We start from the raw sequence: 14,904 nt of genomic DNA on the forward strand, positions 1-14,904 counted from the left end.
TCCTGCAGCTTACCACTGACAACACTGCAACCAGAATTCTGGTCTCCCATCTCATCTTCTGGAATCACTAATGACAACAAAACAAGATGTCAGTGCTACTGCGGTTTTGCGAAATATGAGACAATTATACTTCCTTCCTCTGTTCAGTTGCTTTTTCAGAATAACATAGCACTCCTCCTGCCCCCCAATTCTATGCCAATATTTGTTTCAACTAGAAAACGATTTAAAATTGTATAAATGAATATAAGTAATCGAAAGTTTCTTGCTTGAATCTTAAGTGGCTGGGCGTGGTGGCTCACGTCTATAATCCCAGCACTTTGGGAGGCTGAGGTAGGCAGATCACCTGAGGTCAGGAGTTAGTGACCAGCCTGGCCAACATGGCAAAATCCCGTCTGTCCTAAAAATACAAAAATTAGCTGGGCATGGTGGTGCACACCTGTAGTCCCAGCTACTTGGGATGCTGCGGCATGAGAATCACTTGAACCTAGGAGGCGGAGGTTGCAGTGAGCCGAGATCACACCACTGCACTCCAGCCTGGGCACCAGAGCAAGACTCTGTCTCAAAAAAAAAAAAATCAGAATACCTTAGCCAGAGACATCTGACCTTCACCTTTTGCATATCAATTTTACTGAAGTATTCTTTGGGAAGTAACAAACTAGGCAAATTGTAAACTCAGCTGCAAGTGCTAAATCATTAGTGTATTTATTAATTTCAAATGTTTATCTTTCCTTCCCTTGCAACCTGTGCCTATTTTTTAAGTCTATTGAGTTACTAATAACCAATTATAACCCTAAAAATAAGCACCAAAAGCCATTAAGATGAAAGAATGGTTATAGATATTAATCAAACATGTCATGTGATGCTTCCTTTATTTCTCTTAGACTTATTTGAATTTTAATGAAATCAGGGGTGAGTGAGGAGACTTCAGGAGTAACCATGAAGTCACCACCTTTAGGCAACGATGAGCCAATTTGCATTTCTAAATTAACTGGCTAAAGAAACCAAATCCATCTTTGGCCATGAGATTCCCAGGGTGAGCTTTGTCCCTGTGAACTTCCATAAAGTGGAGGGCAGCTGAAAGGGCATCAAAGGGACAGGTCTCTTCAGTGCTTGTGAGGTCTGAGATCAGAATAGGCCAGCATGCGTGAGCACCAGGAACCCTTAACTTCTCTGGGTCTTGCTTTGCTTATCTACAAAATGGAAAGGGGGACTGACCAGAGGACTGGGCAGCTCCTTTCAGCTCCAGCATTCTAGGGGTCTTTCAGAGGTTGATGGTGAGTGGCGAAAGGCATCTTGCTCATGTGGATGAAATGAACCTGAGTATTAAGCGTCTGTCACTGTCATCAGAAGGTGTTCCTTGTTCTGTTCCTTTATCCCTCCTCCCCACAGTATATCTCTGGAGCACAACAGGTAGGAAAGAAAGACCCAACTAAATCCTGAGGCCATTTGAGATTTGTAAAATTATATCTGTGTTCCATTGCACTTCAATTAAAATGCACCCCTCCCTCCACAGACACTTATAACTTCCACATTGAGGGGCAGGTACATTGAGATATTAATACTTTACATGAATATGTTCATTTCATTCCCATGTAAACAGATATTATGGCCTTTATAGATGAGAAAATAAGATCAAAATGTTGAAGAAACAAACAAAATTAAACTCAAGTAACCTATACCTAGTATGTAACAAAGTCAGGATTGGAATTTAGATGTGACTCAAAGTACTTCACATGACACCTGGACTTCTGTTAGAAAACAGGAAGATGGCTGGGTGTGGAGGCTCACGCCTGTAATGCCAGCACTTTGGGAGGCCGAGGCAGGTGGACAACTTGAGCCCAGGAGTAAGACCAGACAGGGCAACAAGGCAAGACCCTATCTCTACAAATACAAAAGCTAGCTGGGCACGGTGTTGTGTGCCTGTAGTCCCAGCTACTCAGGGTGCTGAGGTGGGAGGATGGATTGGGCCCGGGAAGTCAAGGCTGCAGTGAGCCGTGATCACATTGCTGCACTCTAGCCTGGGCAACAGAGCAAGACCCTGTCTCAAAAAAAAAAAAAAAAAGAGAGAAAGAAAGAAAGAAAGAAGAGAGAGGGAGAGAGGGAGAGAGGGAGAGAGAGAGAGAGAGAGGGAGAGAGGGAGAGAGAGAGAGAGAGAGGGAGAGAGGGAGAGAGGGAGAGAGGGAGAGAGCGAGAGGGGGAGAGGGGGAGGGGGAGACAGGGGGAGAGAGGGAGAGAAGGAGAGAGGGAGAGGGGGAGAGGGGGAGAGGGGGAGAGAGAGAGAGAGAGAGACAAAGAAAAAAGAAAGGCAAGCAAGCAGGAACAGGAAGCTTCTGAAGTTTAGGTCACATTTTGACCTAGGTAATGGTTATACAGGTGTTCACTCTATTTCTCAAGCCATACATGTTTTATGTACCTCTCTGTGTTATATGTCATATTTTTTTTTAAAGTTACAGAAAAAAAGATGAAGAATTCAACGTGGTTAGCACAAGGTGGGCAAAGCAGATGTCCATCTTGGGCCTGTCTGAGGTGGTGGGCAGATGCATCATGCCATCAGGGAGAGCTCTCAATCAATGTCCACAGGCCATTCCTACAAAGGCACCTCCTACACAGTTCTGGGAAAGTGCCACAGGACCTTCAAGTGGAGAACCGATGGCGAAAGACAAGGGGTATCTGCGATATCTCAGGGACCCACGTGCTCTAGGCAGATAAATAAGACAGACAAGCACCCTCATCAAATTCAGAAGGAGGCCCACAATCTCTCCCAAGACAAACATACTTGTCTACACCAAAAGGGAGCTAGGAGGCTTCATGACAACTAAGGGTGGATGCAGTCACCCTCAAAGTCTGCTGTCGGTAACTGTAGAGAAATCTGGCTGGAACAACTTGGAAATCTAGTCCATAATTTTAGGAAAGGTAAATCATTCTCCTTTTTTTTTTGAGACAGTCTCACTCTGTCACCAGGCTGGAGTGCAGTGGCACAATCTCAGCCCACTGCAGCCTCTGCCTCCCAGGTTCAAGTGATTCTCCTGCCTCAGCCTCCTGAGAAGGCTGGGACTACAGGCATGCGCCACCACACCCGGCTAATTTTTGTATTTTTAGTAGAGACGGGGTTTCACCATGTTGGCCAGGATGGTATCTATCTCCTGACCTCGTGATCCGCCCGCCTTGGCCTCCCAAAGTACTGGGATTATAGGCGTGAGCCACCGCGCCTGGATGGTAAATCATTCTTTAATGTTAAACAGGTCGATGTGTGCACCATTGTTTTTAATCACTTGCTGTAAGTAGTTATTTTTTCACATTGTGTAATAAATTCTCAACTCCTATCCTTTCAGGTATAATAAATATAACCCTCTGACTTTGAATGACATAGGCCAGATTCAACACTCCTCCTTGCGCTCACACTTTTTAAATTCTAGAGCCATGGAGCATGCTGACCTGCTAAAATGCATTTCTTCAGGAAAGAGCTGTGACTAGAGAACATTTCTGATGCCAACAACAGCTGCTCTGTGAACTAATTCAGGCAGGAATGTACACAGAGACAGTAACTAAAGTGCCTGTTAAACATACTGTGAGAAATTATGTTTATCTCTCTCTCAAGTTGGGCTTTTTGGGGATGGAGCCTTAAAAGTGACATGTCTTTATTTCAGCCTTTAATATGCTCATAGTTGTCAAATGAAGTCTACAGGTTACAAAAAAGCAAAATCTGAACCTCTCATTCAGCTTACTCCTATCTCTTGATTTCTTTTCCACTTAGTTGTAGCCCGTTCCATAAAGCCAAAAACTATGCAGATAAAAATTTAGCCAGATTTAGGTTACTTATCATCACAGCTATCTCCAATGAAGTTCATGAAGGATTCAAACAATGATGGATGTAAAAAGGGTAGACTTCTTCTGGAAACTCAGTAAGAAGCTGAGTGAATTCTTCACAGATAATGGGATCCATCTTCAAAAATTTATTTTTTGTTGCTAGCCAGATGTCTATTGAAGCAAATATTAAAATGCCATTTTTAAATCTGGGTAAATGTTGAGTATCTCTTATCCGAAATGCTTGAGACCAGAAATGTTTCCGATTTGGGTTTTTTTCTGATTTTGGAATATTTGCATTATAACTACTGAGTGAGAATCCCTAATCCCAAAACCCAAAATGCTCAAATGAGTACTTCCTTTGAGCATCATGTCAGTGCTCAAAAAGTTTTGGATTTTGGAGCATTTCAGATTTCTAATTTTCAGATTAGGGATGTTCAACCTGTACATGTTTGTATCTTCATTAGCAGTGAATCATTACCTAAATCTCCAGTAACAAATCAACAAACAAAATCAAGACATTTAATCTAAGCCTGTGACCATCAAATTTTATCAAAGTCTCCAGAGACTCTCCAGCTGTAAATACAAAAGATATCTGCTATATTCGGATCAGAGTAGAGCGAAATTATACATGGACAAGAGCCTGCTCCAAATGCCATTTTACACATCTTGAAAGACTATCTCCTCTCTCATGTGGGGATGGGAGCAGGAGGGAGTGGGGGAGTGAGGGGACCTCCCAGTGCTTTTCTTTGTTCTCTGACTGAGCCCTCTCTCCCTGTGTGTACAATGTACCTCATGCACACCTCCATCACACTACTGCCTGTTTACTACCGTAAGACAGTAAGCTTGCAGTAGCAAACCTCAAGACAAACTTTGCTACAAGCTGCTGCCAAGACAGCAGGCCTGGCTCTTTAAAATTGAGGACCCAGGAACTTTCATCCGTTCATTTAAACACTCCTGGCATAGAACAGAACAGATGCTCAATATTGATTAATTTATGTCTATTATCTGCTTTTATGTACTAAGTCAAACTCAGTTTTTTCACAAAACATTTTCCAGTAATTCTGTGGCTTCTTCAGTTAATCTGTTAACTACTAAGGATTTATGCATTGTTTTAAAATGTATATGTTTACATTTCATTATGCATTTATTGATACTCGCTGTGTCGTTTCCCTTCACACTTTATGGTTCCCAAGAGTAGACTAGCTCCCCATAAAAACTGACAGACTAATTCATACAATAAGCATTTAATGGCGATGAAAAAGGAATAACCTGTTTAATATTAAAGAATGGTATTCTTTTCTTAAAATTATGGACACAGTAAGAATAGAAGAAGAAACAAAATGATTACTCACTGTGAATACCTAGCTACCTTTCTATATTTTTAAGTAGAGAATGCTGAGGTTGAATGAACTTAGACTGATAATTTATATAACATCAAATCTTAATAGTGCCACATATTCAGAGACTGATTTTTTTTAATCTTCACTGATAATGAGGTAATAAATACCTTGCACTCATGTTGTGTTTATTTCAGGTTGCTGAGATGATATAGGGGAAGAGGTACGTGAAGTTCTGTACATGTGGTTAAAAGTAAATAACTGAGAACAAAAGAACTCAGATAATCTTTCTCATTTCATCCTTCCCAACCACAGTTCATAAGTCTATAATTTATCTAAAATCTCTTACGAAGTTTTTAAATCCAGACTTTAAAGGTTGCACTCCAGGAATTTTCCAAAGTTATTAATTTTATTAATAGTAAATCCCTTTGATGAACCATTTTAGAGCATTAAAGCAATTATGAAAGCATTTATCTTTTCAAAATAAAATTCAAGTTTAGGCAAAACCAGTGGGGATAGATGATATTTCATATAGATGTACTGCATATTCAAAAAGAAAAGCAGAAATGCCTATAAACAGATGTTCAGTTTTTCAAGGGGAGAAAAGTCAAGTCCTGATCTGGAACTTGAAAATACATGAAATGGGAGTGAAGCACAGTTTCCTGGAGAGTGATCAAAAACAGTCGAGCCTGACTATTCAAACTCACACATACCTTCACGAAAGCGTTTTCTACAAGCCAGACCATGTAGTGCTCTGTTGCTTAGGAGCTGGGCAGAGAAATGCTAATGAGGCACTGCCTCGGGGATTTGTCCTGGGAACGGTGCCATTTAACATTCTTATTAGCAATTTGGTGGAGGAAGGTGAACTATAAGTAGAGAAGTTCCTGGTCACAATTTACTAAAGATAAATCACAAGGAAGTAAAGGGATCTAGAAGAAACTTTGGTTGGATTTAGGTACATTAAGGGACCAATATTATGACAGCAACAAAGCTCAAAGCACAACTCCAAGGCCATTTACAAACGAACCAAACGAATGCCATTCTTCTTATTTAAGACTGAAGTCACTAAAGACAGAGGTTACTCAGGCTAAATAAAAAGGGAAACCAACAATGCCCTCACTTCTGGATAGTCCAATAGCAAAGCTATGAGATACAAGATACTGGAAGATACATTAGATAATCTAAGCATTACAAAAGATTAAAGGAACAAAAAATAGAACCATGATCTGAAATGTCTGCACAGTTCTGTTCAGAACACCAAATCTATGGTGAACCTATGGATAGCTATTCTTTCTCTCTCCAAGCAGAAGTTATCTGCCCTCTTTAATTCCCATACAGCAATTTTTAGTTTGTCTCCTCAGTATTTTCCACATTGTGTTTGAGAGCTAGGACCCTGCCTTTGTACTCTGCACTTCTGCCAGAATAACAGATTCCCAATAAATAAATCATTGTTAAAGGCAGTATAGTGTAGCAGTTAAGAATATGAGCTCCACAGCCTCAGACTGTCCAAGTTTAAATCCTGGTCCTACTGCTAATTAACTTGGAGATCTTGGGAAAGTTTCTAATCATTGTGCTTCCATTTTTCCATCTGCAACAGTAACAGTAAGCAGTAGGATCACTGGGAAAATTAGATGAGATAATACATTCAGTGGGCTTAGAACAGTATCTGGCATTAGAGTTAAGTGTTTAATAAATGTTATCAGTCATCATAGTGGTGGTACATTAAAGAATGAATCACTTCATAAGTGACTGACATACAAGATAAAATTATTTTTCTAGATTTTCCTTGAATCAATGACAGAATTTCTCCCAAAGTCAAGTCTTCCACAATTAGATAAAATACAGGAGCCCCAGTTAAATTACATTTCAGATAAATAACAAATACTTCTTTGGTATACTAAAGTCCCAAATACTGCATGGTAGGAGAAGTCTGGTAGGAGCAGCATCTGGTAGAATAAGAAGTTTGGTTTGTTGTACTAAGAAAAAGTCTCTGAATTTTACAAGTCACTCCTTCCTCTTTGAAGAACTACTTTCCTTCTTTATCACCTTTAGGCTGCCCTCCTTGCCACACATTTACTTTTTAACATCAACAATAAATTGGGCCGGGTGCAGTGGCTCATGCCTGTAATCCTAGCATGTTGGGAGGCTGAGGTGGGTGGATCACATGAGGTCAGGAGTTTGAGACTAGCCTGGGCAAAGTGGTGAAACCCCATCTCTACTAAAAATACAAAAATTAGCCAGGTGTGGTGATGCACTCCTGTAATCCCAGCTACTCAGAAGGCTGAGGCAGGAGAATGGCTCAAACCTGGGAGGTGGAGGTTGCAGTGAGCCGAGATCACACCACTGCACTCCAGCCTGGGTGACAGAGTGAGACTCCATCTCAATAAGAAAAACAAACCACAATGAACTGAAGTAAAAATGAGAATTTTAAACTAGATATAGGAATACATTCTTCCTATATTTTCTACTTGACCAAGTATACCTTGCTCATCTGCTGGCAGAACCTAGGCTCAGAGGAGCCCAGTTGGGTGATACCCCAGTTCTGATAAATCAAACCATTTAGCATGTCTTCAAAGTCTATACATAGGTCCTTTTTCCAGCCAGCTTGAACTAAACAGAACAAACAAGTGTGTTCAAAAAAACAAATTGGTTTTGAATACTTACAATGGTTTTAAAAAGACAGTGGCAAAACTGCCCATGTCAGCAGTGGTTTATTTGGATCAAATTAACACTGGCGGTTTAAACATGCTAAAGTGTTTCTAAGAAGGTGTGGGCTCCTGGAAACAGATTTGCATATCTGCAAATAGGCAAGTTTCTGCAGAGACCAGAACATCTTAGGCATGTGTATTATCCCATTTTCACACTGCTGAAAAAGATATACCCAAGACTGGGAAATTTATAAAGAAAAAGAGGTTTAATGGACTCATAGTTCCACATGGCTGGGGAGGCCGCACAATCATGGCAGAAGGTGAAAGGCACGTCTTATATGGCGGCAGACAAGAGAGAATTGACAGCCAAGCAAAAGGGGTGTCCCCTTATAAAACCATCAGATTTCATGAGACTCATTCACTATCATGAGAACAGTATGGGGGAAATTGGCCCCATGATTCAATTATCTCCCACTGGGTCCCTCCTACAACACAGGGGAATTATGGGAGCTACAATTCAAGATGAGATTTGGGTGGGGACACAGCCAAACCATATCAGCATGTATTAGGTTGTATTTATGATATCGTATAAAGACGTAGCATACTATACATTCAATAAAAGTAGAGCTGGTTTTATAAATAGATATCAAATTTATGCTCTCAGCAGCCAGTAACCCAAGAAAATAAGCTCACAGAGGATGCCATCTTACCCCTCAGTACTGATTTGAGGTTGAGCTTGGCTTGGCGGTGCAGGTCCTCAACACAGGGGGGTCTTGTGGTGGGAAGGAACACATTCTCCTGCTGGTGCCACGGGGCAGTGTAGTGGACTGTCCATCGGCTTTCCTCATCTAGGTTGGAAACCGCTATAGAAAAAAAGATAGAATACATTCAGGTGTCAACTTCATTGGCTACGAGTTCATTACATCATGATGTGTTTCCATGTCTAACACATCCACGGGTAAGGGCCAGCAAGGGAGCAATGGAGCAAATCCTAAATTAGTTTTAATCTTAGATTCCAGGGGTCTCGCCCACAGTGTTTTACTTATAAAAGAAAAGCTGAAAGTGTCCACCCTCCAAACAATGTTTTCATAGAATCATTTGCTCAGTTAACTGCTTCCCAGCATTTTAGGTCCTCCCTTTACTCCAATGTTTGAAAACATCTGACAGAATTGATAGAGACCTCCAATTCCTACTTAACCCCCCTCGCACACACACAACAAATAGCAGTTACTCAACTGTATAATGCCATCGCAACAGTAAATGTTAGACTGTCCTGATAGAAATGAATTTCCTACCAGGAGGTTTATAACAAATATTCTCCCTCTACAGCATTATTTAAAGAGCATCACTGTTATAAACTCAATTACATTTTTAAAAAATTAAGCGTAAACATTCAATTTACATGTAAATGACATAGCTAATACATGTGGAGACCCATTTGTGTTACAAAATTCTCTCTGCATTTCTTGCTTTCATGAAACCCTTTTATATTAAACATTTTTAAAATTACAATGCAATTGACTCTTCCCAACACAATCCAGTTCAACTAAATTTTCCCAGCACAGAAGAGACCAAGACATTAGAGGACAAAATAACAGGTAAAATCCTGAGAGTAAGATAAATCTCTACAATAATTTTTCTTTAAATCCTCGGAGGCTTGAGACCTCTCTAGTTCATTTTTCCTGACAACACGAGCTAAGTTGGGGCATCAGTGGAGCCCAAAATGAGGCCGACAGCACCAAAACAAATTCATCAACAATGTTTTAATACTTTCTATATACCTGCCATGTAACCCAGGCATAAGAGAGACTGGAAAGGTACTGGAGAAAGTCCTTGTGCTGAGGCATTTGCTTGAGGTAGCAAGTCTAACCCCTGTAAAGCCAGCAGATACTTGAATTGTGAGTGAGGAGCAAGTCTTCCTGACTCTGATCTATGCTATAGAGTTCACACTGGGCGTATCCATGTCCCCAACATAACATGTACCTGGAAACTAGACCATAAAATGAATTCTCAAAGTAACATGAGAACACACGCATAAACTATTAAATCCATTTGAGCACATCTAAAATTCACTAAACATACTCTATAGCACAGTTATTAGGGCTACTCTAAAGATCAAATGAACCAATATACATAAAGTACTTAGCTCAAGAAATAACTCAGGTAAAACATGGTTGTGGCAGGAACAGTAAAAATTATTCTAACGAGGCCCCAAACTTTGAACTGTCACTGTCTCTTGTAAACCTGGGCCACATGCTAGCGCTCATCTCACATACCATCTTTTCTGCAGCTACTAAATTTTACAATCTTATGAATCTGAACAGGATAACTCATTTTCAAAAGGACCCCACCTTCTCCGTAAGTTGCTAAATGAGAAAATAAACATTGAGAACTAGATATCAAGTTAAAAACAGAAATGTCCATTGTGCTTTCTGCTTAGTATTTGACAAAAGCAGTATGTGAATTTGGCACCTAGTATTTCATGTAAACTCTTGTTGAGCAAATGTTTTGCATGGTGCATACAACTATCAATCTTAATACACAAAATCCACAAAGACCTGACTTAACCCTCATTTGTGTTTCAGAAGAATCTAGCATTGGGCCAAACTCACCATATGTCCCCCCAAAGTGTAGCCAGAGTTCATCACAGTGTTTTGTGCTGATGTCCATTTATTTTAAAGACTGAGTTACCATACTTCAGAGTTAGAAACTATTGAAAATGGAAACTTTTCCTATTCGACAATTTCAAATCAAATCCAAGTAATGGCATTCGTGTCTGCACCATCAATCGCACCATCGGCCCCACTGCACAGCTACCAACTGGCTCCTATGAAAAAGTCTCTTCCCCTCGTGTTCCTCACTCTCGCCAGGGCCACTTTTAATCTGTTCATCCAAAGGCAGCCTTTAGCAAGGAGCTGCAGAAAATCAGCCCACCGTGCTGCTCTTTGTAGCTTTCTCCAAAGCTCCTCTTACCAATGCCCCTACCCATGTTCATTTATCCAGTATAAGTCACTGGTCCAAACACTAAACTAAACTAAAATAAAATAAACCACCGACTATGTAAAAACAAAGCCAAGTAGTTATAAAAATTATTATTTTCAAGAGAATGAAGAAGCACCTACATTAAAGAAATGTAAGTCAATGGTAAGTACACAATAAAGCCACATCACAAAAGTTCTGTACCTTACAACAATCACTGATCAGTCTAGACAGTTTGTGCTCGAGCTCTTAAATACACAACAAAGAGTGCCAGGGAGTTTCAGGGGATTATCTCCACCAGAAATATGTGATACATTACACAGAGGCTCCCTTACCTCAGCTGCATATTTATCCAAAGAATCAAAAAATCATACACTTGATATCAAGGGAAACATAAATTAAGTACAAGAATTTCCCCCCTCTTCAAAGGACTTCTTTTGAAAAGCACAGAAGAAGTGAATTCACTTAAAACCCCAATCATAAATAAATAAGACATGCTAAGATCACATAATACTGTCCTAGAGTTACAAAAGTCTGAGGTATTTAAACAACCTGGTATAGAGTAGAGTTTAACTCATGCCTATTACGCTGTTTCACACTCTAATTTCTTCACACAAAAGAACGAAGGACCTAAAACACACACATGGACACACACACACACACACACACACAGACACACAGGGACATATACACATATGGAAACATATGCACACAATAGGTAGTAGAGAGAAAAGGAACTACTTACTTTTCTTCTTAAAAAGTTTAATTAAAGACTTAATCTTTGCATTAATGAAGACCACCATTTCCAGGGCACCTACATAGAGCTTAGAAATGTAAATCACATTAAAAGCTCAGCCCAGTAGGCAGGTGGCAAGCTTCGTCCTTCTGCTACAGATTCTAACTTTTTCTTCCCCCGGTCTCATATCCTTAGACATCTGCCCAGGCTGATGTAACTGAGGTTGAGTTTATTGTCAGGCAGTTACAAACCATTAACAGTCCTTGAACCTGAAAAACTCCTACTGAAACCTAATCTTTAAGGCTGAGAGCAGCCAGTGACATCGTGCGCTGAAAGAAAGAGAAAGCCAATCACGGTTCTTATTTGCATGACAGCCACATCAGGCTTTCTGCCTCAGTGCCCATTCATTCAGTTTTCTCTCCAACAGATCAGAAGTTCCTCCTCTCTGAGCCCACAAAAATAGTGCAGACTTTCCTCTACGGAAGTCAAGATGAAACAAATGTGTTCCCCATTTCATTAGGCCCCTATGAACACCCAGATCTTTTACAGGAGCTGCCAAGTCTGACAGCAATTCCAGTTAATTCAGGGTATATGGGATTTGAACTGATTTAGGGGGGAAAAAAACCAAACTATTGTTTCCCAACCACGCCCCAGGCTCTGCCTCCGATACCAAAGGAACTTGTACAAGCAGTAAAACTTTAGAATAGAATCTCCAAGGAGCTGCAAATGATGACTTGGTTGCATTTTTGTGCAAATTAGGATGCTCTGTCTTCTCACCCTTCTTTGCCAGTGATTGAGAATCAGCATTGTGTGTTCCAAAGCATGATCTTATTTGCATCTAGCTGCCACAACAATCAAGAAAAAAAAAAATCCACCAAAAAAAATACAACTTCCCCACTCCAAATGATAAATTAGATAAAGTACCCTAATCATTTTAATCTTTATTTTATATGTAATTGTCACTTAGGCTCCTGGTTTTCAGAATTCCATAATCGCCCTTCCCTCAATGTTGTCTCAAACAAACATTATCTGAGTTACTCTTTAACTTGAATCTACCATCCAGAGTGCTGGTTCTTTTGCCCATTGGCAATTAACCACAGAGAACTAGGGAAGCACAAGTAGAGACAGAGAAATCAGAAACAGAGTATAAGAAGGCACTGAAAAAACATATTCCAGGGGTAAAGGGATAGGAAAAAAGAGGAGAATATAGATCCGGAAATACTATGACAACGGAAAAAGGAAAAGAATCTTCCTCACATCTCAGCCCAGTTCCACTTCATGGCCAAACACTTTTGAAACAATTTAGACAACCTCTTATTTCATAGCTTTGGGCCAGACTTATAACTCAATGGAAAAATGTAATAATCCACTAATTCAAAACATTTAGTTTATAACAAAGGCTCTTAGTCAAAGAATAAAATTTATATAAGGGGCTCTGTCTAGGGAAAGCTTTGAAATGATTCCTTCTCAGGTCTTTTTATGCCCTTTATTTTTTCAACAACAACAAAACAAAAGAACACATAGGGGAAAGCTTTGAAATGATTCCTTCTCAGGTCTTTTTATGCCCTTTATTTTTTCAACAACAACAAAACAAAAGAACACATAGAAACGTTACCATCTTATCATACATATTATCACAGATTTCCAATTTGTGTTATTTCATTTTATATATAGCTTTATTTTAAAGTAATTAAATTGCCAGATGGCAAATGAGAAACGACTGAGCCTGTAAGTCAGATTATGTGGCTGCCTTAAATTAGCGGGCAAAGTTCCCCTTTGGAAAACAAATTTATCTGCAAGAGTGACCTCGCTCTGCTCATTGCATTAGACACAAGGAGAGTTGTGGGCAAAAACACTCATATGCACAATCCACAAGTGTTTGAGGTTAAGTGTCACCATGCAAATGTCCAGTGAAAACAGAAATTGTTCTTTCAAGAAACTCTGATTATGCTCAACCCTCCATAGCATGTAGCTTTCCATGTGCTCAACAATGGCATCTGAATATAGATTCGTTCATCAGAAAGATAAATACCAGGCACCGATGCTAACTGCTACTCTTTCATTTCATTGGGATACATCATTGGACAAAATAGGTGAGATCCCTGCCCTCATGGAGCTTAAATTATTTGACACTGAACTACAATTTTGTGGTATATTAGAAGGAGTTGAGTGCAACAGACAAAATAAAAAAGTTAAGCAACATAAAAGGGGGTTTGAGGGTGGCCAGGCTGCAGCATCGTAGGAGTCAGGGTGGTCCTCGTGAAAAGTCGAGATTTGAGCAAAACCTTGAAGGAGGCAATGGCAAGAAAACAAAACTGTGTAATGAATCTCACTGGCTCTCATTTTAAAGAGAGAGAGAGAGATTCCTCAGGCTGTGAGACACATTTCCATCCCCCAGGACTAGAGAAGTGCTCTTTCCTCTCAGAAAATGAACTGTAGGAAGAATCTTGCATGGGGTAATTTCCTTTCTCACTCAATATTAAGTGTGATATAAAGTGGCCGCAGTTGTTCCTCTGTATCCATTCCAGGATGCCCCTTGGATACAAAAATCCTTGGATGCTCCAGTCCCTGATATAAAATACTGTAGTATTTGCATGCAACCTATGCACATCTTCCCATATACTTTAAATCATCTCTACATTACTTATAGTACCTAATACAATGTAAATGCTACGTAAGTAGTTGTTATACTGTATTGGTTTAAAAATATGTATTTTTTTTATTGCTGCATTACTTTTATTGTGGTTTTTTCCCCAAATATTTTTGTTCCATGGTTGCTTGAATCCACGGAAGTGGAACCTGTGGATATGGAGAGCCAACTGTACTTGGTTACACACGAGTAAGTGGTAAACCTGGGGGAGAATGCAGGCTTCCATCCCGGCATCCTAGGATGTCTCATCCTCTGTGCATTATTCCACACTGCCACATAACACCATAAAATCCAGATCTCCAGGAAATAAACCAAATAAACTATCACATTTCTTGCGTTCTATATTAAGTTGTATTTTGAAAGCACTTATTAATTAGAAAGTTTACCCAATCAATTGCCAGCTCTTACTTTACATCCTTGATATGAGCATGAGCACAGGGAAATGTTTTCATCATATAATCTGCATGCCTCAATGCTGTGGTTGATGGAAGAGCCGTATTCTTCTGGAACTGTATTTTTTAATTGTTCAATTTATACGTGCAACAGAAAAGATATAAATCCATGGTACTTCTGATGCCTACTTCAGCCATATATGACAGTGGCGGAAAAAAAAAAAAAGTTTTTATAAAGATAGGGTACTATGTTGCCCGGCTGTTCTCAAACTCCTGGCCTCCAGCAATCCTCCCACCTCAGCTTCCCAAAGTGTTTGGATTACAAGCAAGGCCCATTGCACAGGGCAAAAAAAGA

At 39.9% G+C, this 14,904-nt stretch overlaps 1 protein-coding gene across 24 annotated transcripts in view; it reads right to left on the reverse strand.

Annotated features, from left to right (window-relative positions):
* Positions 1-14,904, reverse strand: part of NHSL1 (NHS like 1) — a 271,170-nt gene that overhangs the window by 65,674 nt on the left and 190,592 nt on the right. For 11 of the 24 annotated variants that reach the window (XM_047419113.1, XM_047419109.1, XM_047419115.1 and 8 more), the window contains one exon: positions 8,503-8,655. In XM_047419113.1, the coding sequence (XP_047275069.1) occupies positions 8,503-8,655 (153 nt within the window). Of the gene's footprint in view, positions 1-13; positions 68-8,502; positions 8,656-9,573; positions 11,029-11,516; positions 11,779-14,904 lie in introns of those variants that run through there. The other 13 variants (XM_047419110.1, XM_011535976.2, XM_047419119.1 and 10 more) reach the window with 4 other exon arrangements.

This window comes from Homo sapiens, chromosome 6 (assembly GCF_000001405.40).
Source record: "Homo sapiens chromosome 6, GRCh38.p14 Primary Assembly".
In the NCBI taxonomy this organism is placed as follows: Eukaryota; Metazoa; Chordata; class Mammalia; order Primates; family Hominidae; genus Homo; species Homo sapiens.